Source organism: Homo sapiens, chromosome 5 (genome assembly GCF_000001405.40).
Source record: "Homo sapiens chromosome 5, GRCh38.p14 Primary Assembly".
In the NCBI taxonomy this organism is placed as follows: domain Eukaryota; kingdom Metazoa; phylum Chordata; class Mammalia; order Primates; family Hominidae; genus Homo; species Homo sapiens.
In genome coordinates this window covers 6,708,036-6,725,801 of record NC_000005.10, presented here as the reverse complement: position 1 = coordinate 6,725,801, position 17,766 = coordinate 6,708,036, and the positions used below count along the sequence as shown (strand labels likewise).

Here is a 17,766-nt window from a genome sequence, read left to right as displayed (position 1 = left end):
CAATCCATGTGTCCATCTACACGAGCCTAGAGAGAGAGGTCCTACAGTGGCAGCCACCTGCTTGTGCTTCTGGGTGGTGGGACTGAGTGACTTTAGAGCTTTCTGCTTTAAAAAACAAACCACGGATCAGTTTTACAAAAACAATGTCATTATGTTTTAGTTAGTTAGCACGAAGCACTCTTAGAAACAACCTCTAGCTTTGAAGCAATCAGCAAATGGCAGTGTAAGATGGCACACACAGCAGGTGGTCCGCAGCCTCTCTACAACTGGTGATGACAGCACCAGGTCCTCCTGTTTGGTTGACAGAAGTCACCCTCAGAATCCTCTTGGGAAAATCAGGGCACTAGCTGTCCATCTCTGGAGTCTCTGAATCATGTGGAGACTGGGCAGGCCCTCAGACAGCATCGGCATCTCTCCTGAGAAGACAGACATCACTTCTCTGGAACTCAGCATAATTGTTTTCTTTTTTTTTTCTTTTTTTGAGACGGAGTCTCGCTCTGTCACGCAGGCTGGAGTGCAGTAGTGTGATCTCGGCTCACTGCAACCTCCGCCTCCTGGATTCAAGAGATTCTCCTGCCTCAGCCTCCCAAGTAGCTGGGACTACAGGTGCGTGCCATCACGCCCGGATAATTTTTTGTATTTTTAGTAGAGATGGGGTTTTACTGTGTTAGCCAGGATGGTCTCGATCTCCTGAACTTGTGATCCGCCCTCCTTGGCCTCCCAAAGTGCTGGGATTACAGGCGTGAGCCATTGCACCCAGCCTGTTTTCCTCTTTATTAGCTTATCTCTTTGGACAATTCTCGCTTTGCTCTACATTTCCAGTGGCTAAAGAGACAGGCTACGGAGTGAGACTACCTGGACTCCAATGCCTGCTTTACACCTACCAGCTGTGTGACCCCAGGCCAGCTGTGCCGAGAACAGCCTCTCCCAGGAGGGTGGCAGGAGACACTGTATAAAGGGTGAGGGCTCAGTCAGGCCAGTGGTGATTACTACTGTGGCTAGGACTGTACACCACTCACCTGATGGCAGCAGAGGAAAAGCTGAGGTCCCCACCTATTAAGGGAGGCTCTGTGAACAGCAAGTCATCTTCCCCAACCACAGGCCTTGTTATTTTATTCTAAAACCAATCCTAAAACGCGCTTTTTACTCAACGAGTCTGCAAGCTTCAGTTCATTCCATGCTTTCATCTCCCTGAATAGTTCCCATAGATTCCTACCCTTTAGAGTGTGGTCTCGGTGCTCTATCCTTCCACCTGTCACACTCGTCCTTCAGCATGAACATCAGTCTCTTGTGAGTCAGAACCACAAACTCTAGATAGATTCACCTTTTGCTTTCTTCCATGAGGTAACTCATAATGACACTTTAGAATTCCTTTGCATTTCACAGGACATGCAAGGTATCCTTTTCTATATTTTTGGCCATCATTTCATCGTTGTCCTTCCATTTTTTAATAATGTTTTACATAAGTTTAGAGACGATGCCTATAACCAAAATACACTTTACTGTGTTGCGTCACTGGCCCATCTCTGCCCATTCACAGAGGTCTTGCGTGGCTCTTCACTCCAACATACCAGTGCCCTCTCTGTGGGGGAGGTGGGAAGAAGCCCAGGCTTGCATACCATGCAGACCTGCATCTGGGCACCAGTGCCTTTATTTTCTAGTAGCGCCTTGGGCAAGACGCTTGAATCACTTAATGCTTAATTTTTCTCTCTTCAAAATGAGTTATAGTCCAGGATTGCGAGACTGCAGGTCAAGCCCCCAGTGCAGCAGTGCTGACTGAGGCAGCTGCGCTGCCAGTCCTGCCTTGTCTTTCAACTGCCGTCAGATGAAACAGCGAGTAAACAGCTCATCAGATGCTCCACTCTTCATAGAATGCAACTTCTAAGAATACTCCAGGTGACAGAAATCCCGCTTCCACACTGCAGCCTCCCTCCAGGCCAGTTCTGGAACACCTCAAGAAAGCACGAACCTGAGCGTACTACTGCGCAGGACTGGCTTCCCTATGAAATCCTCAACACTCCGCAACCCCACAGCTATCAACTTTGTCCTGCGGTGGCTGTCAAAGCACCCCACCACATCTGAATCTAATCTCTTTAGGAAAACAAAGCAAAAGGCCCTGCACCAACATATTTGAACCATGTTTGTAGAATGAGTTGCTAGGTTCCATCCCCCGCATGTTAGCGACGTCTTGTTCACTGAACACTGTTAGGAGTAAAGTGCCCAGATGTCAGCCGTGAATTCACATTTCCAACTGCAGCACCTCTTGCCAGGTCACGTCAGACTGTCAAGGCTTCAGTTTTCTGTCTACAAAACAGGAGTAATATCACTCATTTCAAGGGTCAGCTCTGGGAACTAAAGGAGCAAACTCGTGCAGAGAGCTAAGCCAAAAGAGCCCCACACACGAGCCACAATGGTGCTCGTGACCAGGAAGACTGTTGAGAGAAGGAAGTGACCGTCTGCACCATCATTAACCTGCGTGCAAAAATGCTGAGACCTATCACCTGCATGCTGGACTGGAGACACTCCAGGTCATAACAGTTGCTCCATGTTGCTCTGTGCTGCGCTCTGCTATGAACCTATTTTATGCTTCATGTGCTATTAAAACAGCGGCTTTTTGAAAAGGATTTGCATTGGAAACTCAAACAATTTCTAGAGCTTTCACAGTGATAACTTGCTGAGTAACACAGCTTTTACTGTTGTATGAGTTTCAATTTATTTCAGCAACAGTTACTGAATCAAACACTGTTTCAAATAGAGCCTAAAGTTACTGCAGTTCAGAGCTGTCTAAATACATGGCCATTTAAATTTTAATTAAAAGTAAATAAAATTAAAATTCAGCTCCTCAGTTGCATTTGTCACATTTCAAGTGCTCAAAAGTCACATATGGCCAGTGGCTACTGTATTAGTGCAAAAATAGAATTATTCCATCTCCACAGGAAGTTCTACTGGACAGTGCTGTTCTAGTTGCCTACTTAATGTTCCCTGGCCCTTAATTTTGTTTTCCTTCACTATACACAGAACACTATGTTAGAAGCTGCAAAGAGTTCAGAAAACACTTCATCCACTCCTTCTACTATGTGCAAGAAATAAAAAAACCTTAACCAACTTTAAATGAGTTACACGGAGCAGCACATACAGCCCTGAGCAAATACATCAAGAGTACCCTTGCCTCTGGGGAGATGAGATTCTTATTTAAAGCTGTAGAACAGTGCTGATGTACCTTCAGAACAGTTAAAAAAAAAAAAAAAAAAAAACTAACAAATGCAAAACTAGAACAGACATTATTCATCATTAAGGCATTGTTAAAATGTTTTAAAAATAGAAAGGTATCTTTCAATTCACAACACCCCTCTAGCCCCCCACTCCCAAGACTCAGAATATTCAGTCTTTAGCAGTTTTCACTTTGGTCTGAAAGTGGAAGTTGTATTTTCAAAAACCAAGAAAAAGGCTTTTCCTGTCCAGCTGGCAAGAAGGACTTAATTTTTGGTTTCAATTTCCTTAAAGAGAGGAGAAAAGGGCAGCGGTGGCCTTTTTAATCTCTCGCATGACAACTCACAGAGTGCTTCCAAGTCTTTCATGTACTCTCTGAGGTGGGTGCCACAGGCTCTGCTTCACAGGGGGGGAAACTGAGGCTCAAGTTAGAAACCATGGCGAAACCAGCTAAAGCCAGACCTGTGAGTGTGTGACATGGGCTGATGGAGCTAGGCTCTCAAGAGCCAAGCACGTGGCTCCCGAAGCTGAGAAATGGACTCCACCGAGCAGGTCTGATGCAGAAACATCAAAATACATTCGACTTTTCATTTCCCTTAAACTACTACATCCTAGCCATTCCTTCAGATCGACAGGATTCCAGAAATGTTACAATGATCTGAAATCTCTTTCAAACGGAAAGACAGAAATCACCTAACACCCACATCCTAGCACTTGGGAAACTAACTCCAATCTGAAGCCACAGGAGAGCCTAACTGGTTATGCACGGCAGCTGATTTAGGAAAGAAAAGGATCACAAGCCCACAACAAAAAGGCATGTTGTTGATAATCAAAGACATTCTCTGCCAACAGGGACCCTCAGAGCTGCTCCCATCTCGCCCACCCTGTCAGCCAAGAGATGGATAAACTTCTGCAGAGATCCACCCCGCCCGGGCCCAGATGTGGCCCACCCCCTGGCTCACTGCCAGCAAATGCAGTGCACACCACCAGAGTCCAGGACACCAGGGACAGGCTCATAGGGCACTCTCTAGTGGCCCAATGGTGGACAACTCACCTCCATACTTCTCCAGGCTTTCTAACTTTTCATAGTTAGGTATTAATTTTTATAATAAGAAACAAAGAGCAGTTAAAACTAAATGGTGATGTTTTTCAAATACAGTATAGAATTTTCTTGAATGTTTTCTGCTTTTGCATTCTACATTGTAAAACAGAACACTAGTTTAGCCACTCTCCAGGAAGGAAAGCAGATAAACTGCAACAGACTTTATTTTTTAAAATTCTAAGACAAACAACAAAAGTTTCCCTTAGCATTTGGTTTATGAATACTCCGAAGACTTGCCATCCCCCACCTGCTCTCCTGAGTTGGCAGATCCTCCTCCTGCTCTTCTTTCTTGGGAGATACTTACTTAGTGGCTACCGTGTGCTTGGCACTAAGAATGCGGGCTACAATACAGCCCCTCCTTCCCTGAGGAGACTCAGGAGGGCAGTGGGATCAACTTAGTAATAGCAGCAACTCCACAAGAGCCAAACACTCAGGGGGCTCAGGAAGGGACAGAGGGAAGAACCGTGTGGGAGTTTTCTTGTGCCTCCTAAAGGAGGCACAGTGCTCTGAAGCCAAGGTTCTGGGGAAGCCAACATTGCTACGAACCTGGGCTTGCAGGACAAGTGTTCCCCACATCTTCTGCAAAGCAAAGATAGACTGCTATCAACTTAAGAGAACTGGGTTCCAGAGGTGACTCTTGGGTAAGTCATCAACCCCCACCTGCATAGGAAAGACCCCTTTCCTAAACTAGCCAATGCAGGACACCTCGTGAACAGGACTTTTCAATCACTGTATTTTCATATATTCACACGGCTTTCCTGCAAACTTTTATTTATTTATTTATTTATTTATTTATTTATTTATTTATTTATTTTGAGACAGAGTCTCGCTCTGTCACCAGGCTAGAGTGCTGTGGTGCGATCTCGGCTCACTGCAACCTCCAACTCTCCAGTTCAAAGGATTCTCCTGCCTCTGCCTCCCGAGTAGTCCTGCAAACTTTTCTTAAATGACATATTTTAAAGAATGTTCATCTGAGTGCAGCACAGAAAGGTTCTCCTGGTTATAGTGGCTGCCTGAGTTCAGTAGTAACCACCAAGCCAGAGGACGGAACTGGCAATCTGCAAGAGTCATTGCGATGGGCTGGAGTCCAGTCAGGGGAAAAGTGTTGGACAAGAAGAACCACAACCTGCTCATCAACGGATTCTATGCCAGGGGAAGTCTACCCACAGAAGAACCTCCTCCCCTCAAGGTCCTACACCCTACTCCTTGGAACCTGTGGCTCTGATGAGGTTATCACACCATGATCATGTTGTACTACTACATGACCTTCAGGTAGGCAGGTTATCTGCAGGAGCCTGACTCAATAACACAAGCCCATAGAAACAGGGGGCTTCCTCCAGCTGGCGGAAAACATCAGAGAAATTCAAAGTACCTTGCTTTGCAGATGGAATGCAGGTGGCCTTAAGAAGCTGACAGCGCCCTACCCAATTCCCCTGCTGGCAGCTAGCAAGCAATCAAGGACTTCCATCCTGCAAGGAACTGAATTCTGACAATAACAGGAATGTGCTGGTAAGAGGACCCTGAGTGCCAGCTGAGAACACAGCTGGCCAACACCTTGACTTCAGCCTTGCAAAAGCCTAAGCAGAGAACCCAGCCCCGCCATCCCTGATCTGACACACAAAATCCTTAAGACCATAAGTGAGTGTTCTTCTAAGCCTCTGAGTTTATGTTAATTTGCTACACAGCAACAGAGAACTACCACAACATAGAAATCTCAAAAATAGGATGCTGACGAGTGTGCATCCCCAGTGTTGGGAGAAAAGGCATCCTGGCCACCTCACTCAGGCACATGTTCCCAACAGGTCAGGTAACTTGGACACCTGTCAGCGCTGACTGAGACCACCTGCCTGCCCTCCCTGAGGTGCTTCTCAAGGCAGGTTCAGAGTGGCAGCTTTCGAAGAGGGCGAGGCTTGCCATCCAATTCACTGCAGAGAAGACAAAGCACTGACAAGCCAGCCACACCTCCTAGAAAGGGCCTCTTCATGGCAGCACTGCGGCTTCTTCAATCTTCTGCAAGTCTGGGTGGTCTGACTCTGCCACCCCTCTGTACCTTTAGTCCAAATTCTGGTTGCATCCTCAAAAATCAAGTTTCTGAATTTGAATATCAAGGTTTGCTGTTTTTTTTTCTTAACCTTTACTCCACAACTACAAAATCAGATCCTAAACCATATGACCTAACTGAGGCATAAAAAGTTCTTATTTTCCAAGGATAACTATTAACTCTTCTTCCACAGGACGCTTACATGAATCCATTTAAAATGAGGACAAAATCTCATATTAAATAGTGACCAAAGAACGTTTGAGACTTTACCTTGAGACACAAATCTTAGAACTTTTTACTTTAAAATATTTACTTAAAATTACTTTGAAAAATTATGTCACAAACATGCATTAAATATTTCTGAGAAAAAGCAAATGACACTGTTGTTCCATCACACGCTCACAGCAGCAAGACAGACAGAACCCACTTTGCTCCATTCTGACTTCCACAGCACGAGCATTAAGCCTTTTTTTTTTTTTCCTGCGAAAAGATTGGAGGCCTCTCATTCCCAGCCAGTTTAATACTCCGACCCTCCTTTTCCAGAGTCTGTCATGCCCTCCTGGGCAGCCCCTTCTCCAAGTGTCAGCTGTCCTGACCTGGCCAGTCCTCATCTATCAGTGACCAGACATATGGTGCAAGCAGGTCTCCAGCAAAACTTTCCTCAACTCCAGCACAGCCAGTGTCTTGCACTCGATTTTCAATTTCACCTTGTGGAGCTTGGCCATGGAACAAAAGACAGGAACAAGTGATGCTATTACTAAATGGAAGGAGTGTTGGAAGAGTTAATTGATGAAATTAACTCCTCTTCCTCCTCCAACAGTGCAGGAGCAAGTATCTGCTTAGTGTGATCATACATACACGCTTCTCTTCACAAGCTTATACCTCTGGGACTCGGAGAGTGAAACTCAGAAAGCAAGGTCCACACGTGCCACCGCCACCCTTTAAGGCAGGTCTCACAACAACCTCTCTCATGCATCCTGGACACTCACAGGAAAGTATGGGAGGGAAAGGCCCCTAGAGTGATGCCTCCCGTGCTCTGCAGCAGGCCCTGCTGAGCATCACAAGGATGTTCCGGACAGGTCACACCTGCTCTACTTTATGTCAGTGAGGTCAGGCTAGAGGGAGAGGGGGGATCCTGGTTGCGCCTCCAAGCTGTGACTCCTTCGCAAGAAAGAATTGAGAAAAACATGCACCAAGTTGGAAACGACTCTCACCAGACGCCTTGCGGGGCATGGCTGACCATGTCCTATGCCGACAGTCGTCGGTCTCTCTCAGACTTCAAACTAAGAACAGAATTTCCTTTGAGTTAATAGAAGATATTAAAGGATGAGATTAAATACCAAGAAACCTGCAAAGAGGAAGCTGCATACACCTGCTGCACACTGCAGGCACACCTGAGATGGCACAGCCTTCGAAAGGCCAAACTCTGAATAGAAGCTGTTCAGGGCCCGGGACACCTGCATGTGTCCTCGTTCAACTACATTCTTCCTGGGTCTCTGTAACACACCAGTAAGGATGTGGCCAAATATCTGAGGGCCATGCTCCCACTCTCACTTATGCAAGACTCTTAACCTGAAGAGGTTTCCAAAGCTGCTAGAACGACCATGACAAAGTAACAACAGCCCAAAGCCCTGCTGGGTCAGGGGATGAGAGCACTTGCAAGTGACAGCAGCCAGAGGCTGGGATGCAAAGGGCCCAGGGCCTGTCCAAACACCTGCCCAACATCTCTAGGTCAGAAGCCCAGGTAGATAGCACAGCTCACGCTAAGCACACCACTCCCAAAACAAAGGCTTGAGATTTCAATCAAACAATGATTCAAGAACCAGAGCCAAAAGAAGCATTTCACCTCCTCTCCTCTGAAGGTTCTTGCACCAATCCCTGTCCTCTTTCACCTGCTTTTTCTTCATCCTACTTGAAGCAGAAGGCAGACTGGCAGTCTCACAAGGCCAAGCCACCAGGCAAAGTGTCCAAGGGCAGAAAACTCCTCCCCAGAAAAGGACAAACAGTGAGGGTTGCCACATGGGCTACCAGGCAAAGACCCAACTGGGTTCAGCCAATGCTCCACAGCAGGCTCATCCTCCCATGAGGAATACACACTGCATTTTCAGAAGTGCATGTCCTGGGACTATATCACAACCCCAAGCAGCTTCTCAGCAACAAGGTCCTTTACTATTGGCCAGCCCAGGTGAGCCTTTAAAACTCAGTTATTTCCTTAGCTAAGCCACAACCGAAAGACTTTTTGGTGGCCTTTCTCAACACTCTGGGTAAGCTGATGGCCAGAAGCAAGTTCTAGACAGAACTATTTATTGATACAAAAAGGTTAGTTTATATAGGACCAACAGGCCATGTGGAAATGATCACAGGGGGGACCTTACCTCCTCTAGCCACAGGCCCAACTCTACCACAGCTTAGGTTTGCTTCTGAAAGAGTAGCTGGAATAGCAGCCCAAGCAGAGGTCACCGTGCCCTTCTGGGCACAGAGCAGGTGGTCCTCACAGGCCCCTTTGGGCAGAGACGGCAGGAAGCGGATGCACCCAAGGCCATACTGGAGGCATGGTACACACCACCCAGAGACAGGCAAGGAGAGGTCTCCAGCAAAGGGGAAAAGGAAAGTTCCAAGAGCATGACTGCAGTATCAAACCAGACCTCCTGGTGGGCTTCAGAGCCCTCTCATGCCCTACACCATACTGCCTTACAGCTAGGTTCTAACGGGTTGGCAAGGGGTGGGGCCAGGAGCCAGGACCTAGGGGCATCTGAGCAGCAGAGCCCTGGAGGTGTTGCTGAGTTTTAGGCTTTAGTCTTTAATGTGGGGGATTGGAGATGGGGGAGGTGACATCACAGGGTGAAGGGGAATCTGACCAGACCTGCTGGCAGAGAAGATTGCCCCATTACCTGTGATGGGAAAGGACTCAAGCAGGACCAGAGTGCATCAAAGGCACCTCCGGCTGCTTGAGCAATCTCCACAGAAGTAACAAGAGCCTGCATGAGGGAGGATGAGGTGTGGAGAGATTAAAAGGGCCAAACGAACAGCATGTGATGAGAGACTGGACGTGGGTGACGAAGAGCGTGAGAGGGGACCTGCACAACTGAGCAGGGTACTCTTGTGCTCTAGGCAGGGGGCACTTGCAGGCAGGTTTCAGGGTGGGTCAAGATCATGAGACTGTGTCTCCCATGCCGTCCCTGCCCCAGATCCCCAGATCCTAGCACAGCACCTGATCCTAGTGGGCTCATTCACTAACAAAAGCAACACCACCTACTGAGCCTGACTAGAGTTACCTGGAGGAAACAGCTCGGGGAGCCCAAGTGAGGTGCATGGGACCTGATGCGCTACCACTTTCTAAGAGCAGAGGTACAACCCAAGACTGGCAGAGACCACGTGTCTTCCTGTTTTTTCTAGTGCTAAGAGAAACGGAGTCCATTCCAGTTACATAACAGGCTGGAAACCTAAAGGTCCTCCCCAAGCGAGCCCTTAGGTATATATTGCTATTCATCAAGAAGAAACTGCTCCCAACCACCTGCTCTCAGAAAGTTCTACAGGTAAGAACTGGAGGGAGAGAAGAGGAGTCTGCGCTCCTGCCGGCGTCTGCACTGCATGTTTACACTTCGGGAAATTTAGAAGGTATCGCTTGTAGCCCAAGCCAGGTGAAATAAGTTACAGAACATGCAGCTATTACAGTGTATCACACGCTTTAAAGAAGTATCAACTCGTGTTTCCCAACATACTTCAAATGAGAAAAAGAGTTACAAGCAAAAGTTTACTATAAGAACTCCCAACACCTAGCAATTGTGGTTATTTGTAGGACTCTACTGCATGCAACAACCCTCATACCCCAGCAAATCCTTAATTGTTTTTTAAATTGGGGGGAAAAATTGTGCAAGGAAAAATTATCATTTAAGTCTTAAAATACTGACATACAACCTACACATAAATTGCTTCCAGACGCTCAGAAAAGCCCAAAATGGCAAAGGGGCTGCGTCAACAGCATCACACCTGAACAGCCTCACCTGGGACAATTCCAACCCCGAAACACACACCACCTTTCGTTTCATTCCTTGCCGTCTGTAAGTGCACTAAATTTAAGTAGAGCCTCTAATTCCCTCTAGGCGGATGTAGAAATATTTAAAATAAAAATGGCACCTTCCAAAGAATAGACATATATGACAAATCTGGTTTTTTCTTTGAATTAAGCCAATGTTTATAAACCATAGGCGATGCTTATGGTAATTGCAGCACAAAATTAAAGGACACAACACCCCCCAAAAAATGAATCACCTCTAAGTTGACAGTTAAATTTTTTTAAAAAATGAAATTAAAAAGGTTAATATTTACCTTCGACGTGATTCGAGTTCCTGGCAATGCTAAATTATTCTGCAACTTAACTTACGTGAAACTCCACACTTATCTACGCCCCACTTTGACAAGGGGTTCCTCACTTGCCCGGAGGCGGGGTGGAGGGGTAGAGAGTCGATTTCCCGTTCCAATCTCAAGAGTAAAAAAGACAAATACCTGCAGGTCCTACCCAGCAGCCCCTTTTCTTGGACTGTTACTTGTAGGATCTGGGCAAGTCACTCCACGATAAATGAGTCTGATGTTTAAAAAAAAAACTTTCAGTGCAGAGTCGGGCCTTGGCCTTAGCCTTCAACATCCATCCTCCAAAAGCCCGGGCGCCTGGGACGGGTGTCTGCACCGCGGGCGCCGGCCAGGACCATGGGCCCCGCCCCCGCCCCCGCGGCCTCCCCGCGCACTCACCCCTGGATGCCCGGGCTGTACGCGCGGCTCTTCCACGGGGTGCCGGGCCGCGGCGCCTGGGCCCCGGGGCCGCCCCCTCCGCTGAGAGCGGCCGCGCGGCTGCCGGACAGCAGGTAGTTGAGGCCGTAGGTGCTGGCCTTGTTCTCGCGTTTCCGGCGACCCGGGTGGAACTGGTGCTGCGACGGGGAGCCGGCGGGCGCGGGGCCGCGCGGCCCGGGGTGCCCGTTGGCTGTGCCAGGGGCGCTGGGCGCGCCGTCGGCGAAGTTGAAGAAGGCGCCGCCGCGGCCGCCGCCCGGCCGGCCCAGCGAGGCGCTGCTGGAGGACGACGACGAGCAGCCGGGGCTCTCGGTGCCCGACTCCGCGTTGGACGAGGAGGACGACGACGAGGACGACAGCGACGGCGACTTGTGCAAGCGCCGCGCGCCCTCGGCCGCGGGCCCCAGCGCCGTCAGCAGCGCGGGGGGCAGCGCGGCGGGCGCGGTGGGGCCGGGCGGCGGGGGCGACGCGGCGGGCAGCGCGGGGCCCAGGCCGCCACTGCCCCGCCCGGCCGCCCCCGCCGCGGCCGCCGTGTCCAGCGCCGGCGAGTTGAGGCAGAAATAGGACGCGAAGCCCGAGCCGCCGCGGCCCACGCCCTGCGAGGTCTCCCAGATCTGCATCCACAGGGCATTGGCCGGCCCCTTCTGCTCGGGCTGGATCCAGGCCACGCGCGGATCCATCCACGCGCCGCCCCCGCGGGGCCCGCGCGCCCGCCCGCCCCGACGCGGCCCCGCCCCCGCCGCGCCCCGAGGCCCGGCCGCGCGCGCACGGACGGACGGACGGGCCTGGGCCGGTGGCGGCGGCGGCGGCGGCGGCGGCGGGCGGGCCGAGCCCCGGCCTCCTGCTCTAGCCGCGCTCCCGTCGGGCTCCGGCGTGGGGCGGCGGCGGCGGTGATGGGCCCCGGCAGGCCGCGGCGGGCGGCTCCGGCGCTTGGCGCGTCCCAGCGGGCGGCTGCGGTCTCCGGGCTCCCGCTTCACGCGGCGCGGGGCGGGCGCGGGGGCCGCGGCGGCGGCGGCGTTCCACTCGGGCCGCGGGGAGAGGCCATCGGAGAAGGGCGGGCGGCGGGGCCGAGGGGGCGGGCCCAGGCGCCGAGCGGCTGAAGGACCCGCGGGAGGCGCCGCCGCCCGTGCGGCTAGCCCTCAGTCACGCTCGCGCCGCTGGCTCGGCGCTCCTGCGGCGGCGGCGGCGGCGGCGGTGAAAAGACACTCTCGGCGGCGACAGCGCGGGGGAAGGAGGGGGCCGCCGCCGCGTCCGCTCCAATGAGGGGCGGGGGAGGGGGCGGGGACGGGGGCGGCAGGAGGAAGCGCGGCCTCGGTCGCCGGGCCGTGTCGCCGGTGCGCACGCGCGACCGATTTCAAATCCTCACTAGACACTGCCGCCGTGGTTACCGCGCCTGCGCGTTGGGGCCCCGTCGGCCGCGGGCGGGGTGAGGACGGCGTCAGAAGCTACGCGACTGGGAGGGGCTGGAGGGAGAGGCGGTGGCGTTGAGCCATTACTGACTAGGCCGGCGTTGGGTGGAATAGGCAGCGGCTGGAAGGCCCGCACGCCGCCCTCGGCCCGCCGCGGCGCGCAGACCCCGGCGTGCAGACATGCGCGCTAGGGCCGGTGTCACCGGGCTGCCGCCTGAGCCGCGCTGCGCGTGCGCAGGGCAGCGTGGCCGTCACCGCCGCCGGTGGAAGTTTCCGAGCAGCCGGGCGGGGGCAGCGGACGCCACCGCAGGCGCTTCCCCCGCCGGCCGGCCCTCCCTCCTGACGTAAGGGCGGGCCCCGGTCGCAGATCCCGCCCCAGGTCTCTCATCCGAGGGTCCGTGCAGCAGGTCACGCTGCGCTCTCTGGGGTCCGCGCGTCGGCCCACGTGCTCCCTGCACCTCGCGGGGTGAGCGGCCAGCGTGCCGTGCCGGGTGGCTGGCTCCGCCGCTCCGGAGCCGGGAAGGACACGCGGCAGAGTCCTGCTCCCTAGCGGGTCTGCTTACAGGCGTTTGGTTTGCTTTTTAAAATGATTTTCTATGCGAAAAGTGAAGTGAAAACTTCCAAGTTAATTCCCTGGGCAAAATGGGCAGTGCTAGCCGAGGAACGGCTGGTGGGCGGCGCGTCCGGCCCCCGGCTTCGGTTTTTCCAGCTGCACCGAGCGGGCAGGAGTCAGTGGGAAACCGCCCGCCATCCACAGCCTGCCGTTTGCCATCCCGGTGTCCCGAGCGCGATGGAAGCCGGGTTGACAGTGGCACTGTTTGGAATACAGCGCCAACCACACATCCTGTGAGGTCCAAAGCAAACGCCAGTGTCGTTGATCATCGCGGTGCCCCGCGAGCCTGGGCGACGTGAGGCCCCGCGGCTGCCGCCCTGTCTTCAGGCGGAGTCCCCGCAAATGCACTCCCGGGCCAGGGCCCTGAAGCTGCCTTAGCCCAGTGGCGCCCGGGCTCCAAGCCTTTTAAGTAGAACGGGACCTGGCCTTCGTACAGGCGTGTTGTAAATGCTACCCCCTCGTCTCCAGCACAGATGAGTAGACATTACTAAGCACTTGACCCTTCAAACATCGCCCCAACAGGAAAGGTCCGTGTGTTGCATACAAAGGCTTTGGGGCAAGTGGTGGTGGTTAGTAATGAAAATGAATGTTTCAGACGTTTTCAAATACCTTCATATTGTACACGTGGAAATCATGACCAAGGATTAGAACGTGCATTCAGTAAACTACAGAAAATCACACACAAGTCAAACGGCCGTTATTCTGGAGCTGTTTGCTTCCAATGGCTCAGTCCAAAATCCTTGGTCATGCCTGGCTCCTCTCTCTGTCCACAATGAACACATCCTCTTGGCTCCACTGCCCGAAACAACCAGAACCCAACTGCTACCCCTCCTCCTCCCTCCACCCCTCTTTCCCCGCCACCCGTCCATTTTAAAGCAGTGCCTTCTAGCTGGTTTCCCACATTCTGCACAGCTGCTCGTGTGATCCTTTTTAAAAAACAAAAAAGATGTTACTATTTTAAAAATCATCTCATGCCACTCTTAGAATACTATGCAGCCGTAAAAAGGAATGAGATCATGACCTTTGTGGGGACATGAATGGAGGTGGAAGCCACTATCCTCAGCAAACTAACACAGGAACAGAAAACCAAACACCGCATGTTCTCAGTAATAAGGGGGAGCTGAGCAATGAGAATGCATCGACACAGGGAGGGGAACAACACACACCGGGACCTGTTGGGGGTTAGGGGAAGGGAGAGCATCAGGATAAATAGCTAATGCATGCAGGGCTTAATGCCTAGGTGATGGGTTCACAAGTGCAGCAAACCACCATGGCACACATTTACCTATGTAACAAACCTGCACGTCTTGCACGTGTATCCCAGAATTTAAAGTTGACATTTTAAAAAATTCAGTCCATGCCACTCCTCTGCTCAAAACCCTCCAGTGGCTTTCTCATTCAGCAAAATGGAACAACCTTGCTATGACCTGCAAGTCCCTTATCCCCTGGTCCTTCCCCTCTTCCCCTGCCCTCACCTCCCAGCGCTTTCCCTAGCCCAAACAATACCAGCCAGAAGCACCCCTGGCACACTCCTGCCTCAGGGCCTTTGCACTTGCTGTTCCATCTGCCTGACATGCGTTCCCTCCTCCCCATCTTAGTGAGGACGTCCAAGTGGCTCTTTAGTCTAAACTGCAAACATAACCCTCAGCATCCCGTTTCCCTTCCCCATTTGCTTTTTCTCCCTTAGTTTCCTGGAGCTGAGTAACAAAATGTCACAAACTGGGTGGCTTAAAACAACAAACGCATGCTCTCACAGTCCTAGAGGCTGAACGTCCAAAATCAAGTTGTCAGCAAGGCCGTGTATCCTCTGAAGGCTGTAAGGGAGTGTGCCCCATGCTCTCCTCTCAGCTTCTGGTGTTGCTGGCAAACCGTGGCATTCCTTGGCTTGTTGGTGCATCACCCCACTCTCTGACACGTCATCGCATGACGTTTCCCTGTGTCCTTGATTTGTGGATGCAGCGCTCCACTCTCTGTCATCATCATCGCATGGCATTTTCCCTGTGTCCATGTCTCTTCTCAGAAAGACACCAGTGGCATTGGATTAGGGCACCCTAGTGTCTTCCTCCTAACCTGATTACATCTGCAAAGAGTTTCCAAATAAGGTCATATTCGCAGGCACCCAGGGTTGGGACTTGATCATATCTTTTTGGGGGACACTATACCACGTCATATGTATTTTATCTCATTTATCATTTGTGTCCCCCGCCCCATTAGAATGCATGCTCCGTGAAGAGAGGATAGGAATGGCTTGTCCCTGCTGTGTATCAGCTCAAGGATTGTCTGACACATCAGTCCTTGGTGAACATTGGCAGAATGACTGGCAGCTGATTGATTGGCCCAGCGGGAATGGACACGGGCAGTTGCCCTTGTCCAGCTTCCAGGATCTGTTACACAGGTTGTCATTGTTTAGGTATTTTAAGTTTTTCTTGATTGCCTCATACTCTGTCTTTGCAGTTTGCCTCTAGCTAATCCTCGTTGATTTGATCCACCAGCCACCAAACAACATTTTGTAATTAAAACCAAGGTTTTGTTATTTATATATGATCATAAATATTTTTATGTAAATTAAAAGCAGTGTATATATATGTATATATACACATATACATATATATACATATGTGTATATATATGTATATGTGTAGAGAGAGAAAGAGAGAGAGAGTCTCACTCTGTCACCCGGGCTAGAGTGCAGTAACGCAATCCTGGCTCACTGCAACTTCCGCCTCCAGAGTTTAAGTGATTCTCATGCCTCAGCCTCCTGAGTAGCTGGGGTTACAGGTGTGTGCCACCGCATCCGGCTAATGTTTGTATTTTTAGTAGAGATGGGGTTTCACTGTGTTGGCCAGGCTAGCCTTGAACCCCTGACCTCCAGTGATCCACCCACCTCAGCCTCCCAAAGTGCTGGGATTACAGGCATGAGCCACCGTGCCCGGCTGCAGTGTATTTCTTAATGCAATCAAGAAACAATACTGAATGTAAAATGCAGTTTTTGAGACGCTGGGCAAGGGAGATCTTTCTCTTTATCAATTTCTACAGATAAGTGCAGCCCATTCCCGTTTTGGGCTGAAACCCTCTCCTCTCTCTCTTCGGATATTGGAGGAGGAATAATATTAGAGATTACACCATGATTTTAGTGATTTGTTCCCATGAAAAAAATGGTTTACAAAGTGTATTCCATGGACTACCCATGCCAGAATTAGCAATGCTGGTCAAAATGCAGATACCTAGAGCTCACCCAATTTACTGAAACTCTCTAGGAGCAAGCCCAGGAATCTCTATTTTAAGTAAATTTTCTGAGTAATTCTAAAACACAGTGAACTCTGAAAACCTCTACCTAAAACAGGGTTCCCAAATTCAATTGCTCACAGGTGCCAAATAACTGAAAGTGTGTAGGTATTAGCTACTGCTGGGTAAGAAGCCACCCCAAGCTTAGTGGCTTAAAATAAGTGTTTGGTATTGCTCACAAGTCTACAAATCAACTAGGTGGTTTTGCTGCTCTGGGTCAAACACAGCTGATCTTGCTCCACTCAGCTGGCCAATCAGCTGAAGGCTGGCTGGGCTAGAGTAGCCTGGCTGGCAGCTGGGGCACTGGAGTTGACAGAGTTGACAAGGACCATCAGTCTCTTGTTATCCAACAGGCTGACTCAGGCTTGTTCTCAGGTGGCTGAACAGAGTTTCAGGAGTGCAAGCAGACATGCATGAGGCTCAGAACCGGCATGCCATCACTTCCTTACCATTCTGTGAGACAAAGCAAGTGGCAAGGCCTTGACAAGTCAAGGAGTGGGAAAGAAGCCTCCACCTCTTGATGGAAGGAGCTGCATCATATTGCAAGCGGTGTGGGGCACTGGAAGGGGGAGAATGGGGGATGAATTATGCTAACCTCTACTTCTGTTATCACATGACATCCTCCCCTGTGTATCTCTCTATGCCTTCTCTTCTTGTAAGGACATCAGTCATTGGATTTGGGGCCCACTCTAAATCCAGGATGATTTCATCTGAAGATTCTTAACTGATTATACCTCCAAAGACCCTATTTCCAAATAAGGTCTTGTTCTGACATTCTGGGTGGACACTAGGAGGTTGCATAGTCTCCTCCCAAAATTCACCCAGAATTTTGGGAAGACCACTTTGCAACCTACTACAGAGGCTTAAATAAAACAAGAAAGTTATTTTGCTCCCGTAATAAGAAATCCAGCAAGAAAGGGCCATTGGCATGGTGGCCCAGTGTCCCAGGATGTCCGAGCTGACCTGTCTGACATTCCCCTGGCCTTCACCTAAAGGCTGCTCTGGGTCCATCCCTCATGTCCACAGGAAGGAGGTGGGGGAAGAAGGACAGTGTCTGCTGTCTGTGACCCTTTGTATCAGAAAAGCAAACTTTTTCCAAGAAACCTCACGTTAGATTTGTCCTCAAATCTTGTTGATTAGAGCTAGTTATAAGGCCACCCCAACTGCGAGAGAGTCTGAGAAATTAAGACACATGATGAGACACAGAATGATCATGAATGACCTAAACCAATCGTGAGCCATTGTTTGTGCTTGACTTATGACCATGTTGAAAAAAACTGGGTCTGTTAGTAAAGAAGCAGGAAGTGGGTCTCATGTCCTG

At 50.8% G+C, this 17,766-nt stretch overlaps 1 protein-coding gene across 5 annotated transcripts in view, besides 8 other annotated features; it reads right to left on the bottom strand.

The window, feature by feature from the left end:
- The window catches only part of TENT4A (terminal nucleotidyltransferase 4A), a 43,613-nt gene extending 31,243 nt beyond the window's left edge, over positions 1–12,370 (bottom strand). For 2 of the 5 annotated variants that reach the window (NM_006999.6, NM_001171805.3), the window contains exon 1: positions 11,103–12,370. In NM_006999.6, coding sequence (NP_008930.2) covers positions 11,103–11,818 — 716 coding nt within the window. In that variant the 5' untranslated portion in view covers positions 11,819–12,370. Of the gene's footprint in view, positions 3,233–8,199; positions 10,661–10,682; positions 11,054–11,102 lie in introns of those variants that run through there. The other 3 variants (XM_047416667.1, XM_047416666.1, XM_047416664.1) reach the window with 3 other exon arrangements.
- Positions 4,073–4,122: an enhancer, noted in NCBI's record as "active region_22339". NCBI's record gives its function as "activates an Ori minimal core promoter by ATAC-STARR-seq in GM12878 lymphoblastoid cells {active_cell/tissue: GM12878}" and the evidence as "EXISTENCE:reporter gene assay evidence [ECO:0000049][PMID:35858748]".
- Positions 9,595–9,654: an enhancer, noted in NCBI's record as "active region_22338". NCBI's record gives its function as "activates an Ori minimal core promoter by ATAC-STARR-seq in GM12878 lymphoblastoid cells {active_cell/tissue: GM12878}" and the evidence as "EXISTENCE:reporter gene assay evidence [ECO:0000049][PMID:35858748]".
- Positions 9,955–10,004: an enhancer, noted in NCBI's record as "active region_22337". NCBI's record gives its function as "activates an Ori minimal core promoter by ATAC-STARR-seq in GM12878 lymphoblastoid cells {active_cell/tissue: GM12878}" and the evidence as "EXISTENCE:reporter gene assay evidence [ECO:0000049][PMID:35858748]".
- Positions 11,002–11,391: a silencer, noted in NCBI's record as "silent region_15903". NCBI's record gives its function as "represses an Ori minimal core promoter by ATAC-STARR-seq in GM12878 lymphoblastoid cells {active_cell/tissue: GM12878}" and the evidence as "EXISTENCE:reporter gene assay evidence [ECO:0000049][PMID:35858748]".
- Positions 11,762–11,831: a silencer, noted in NCBI's record as "silent region_15902". NCBI's record gives its function as "represses an Ori minimal core promoter by ATAC-STARR-seq in GM12878 lymphoblastoid cells {active_cell/tissue: GM12878}" and the evidence as "EXISTENCE:reporter gene assay evidence [ECO:0000049][PMID:35858748]".
- Positions 12,132–12,501: a silencer, noted in NCBI's record as "silent region_15901". NCBI's record gives its function as "represses an Ori minimal core promoter by ATAC-STARR-seq in GM12878 lymphoblastoid cells {active_cell/tissue: GM12878}" and the evidence as "EXISTENCE:reporter gene assay evidence [ECO:0000049][PMID:35858748]".
- Positions 12,612–13,051: a silencer, noted in NCBI's record as "silent region_15900". NCBI's record gives its function as "represses an Ori minimal core promoter by ATAC-STARR-seq in GM12878 lymphoblastoid cells {active_cell/tissue: GM12878}" and the evidence as "EXISTENCE:reporter gene assay evidence [ECO:0000049][PMID:35858748]".
- Positions 13,222–13,281: an enhancer, noted in NCBI's record as "active region_22336". NCBI's record gives its function as "activates an Ori minimal core promoter by ATAC-STARR-seq in GM12878 lymphoblastoid cells {active_cell/tissue: GM12878}" and the evidence as "EXISTENCE:reporter gene assay evidence [ECO:0000049][PMID:35858748]".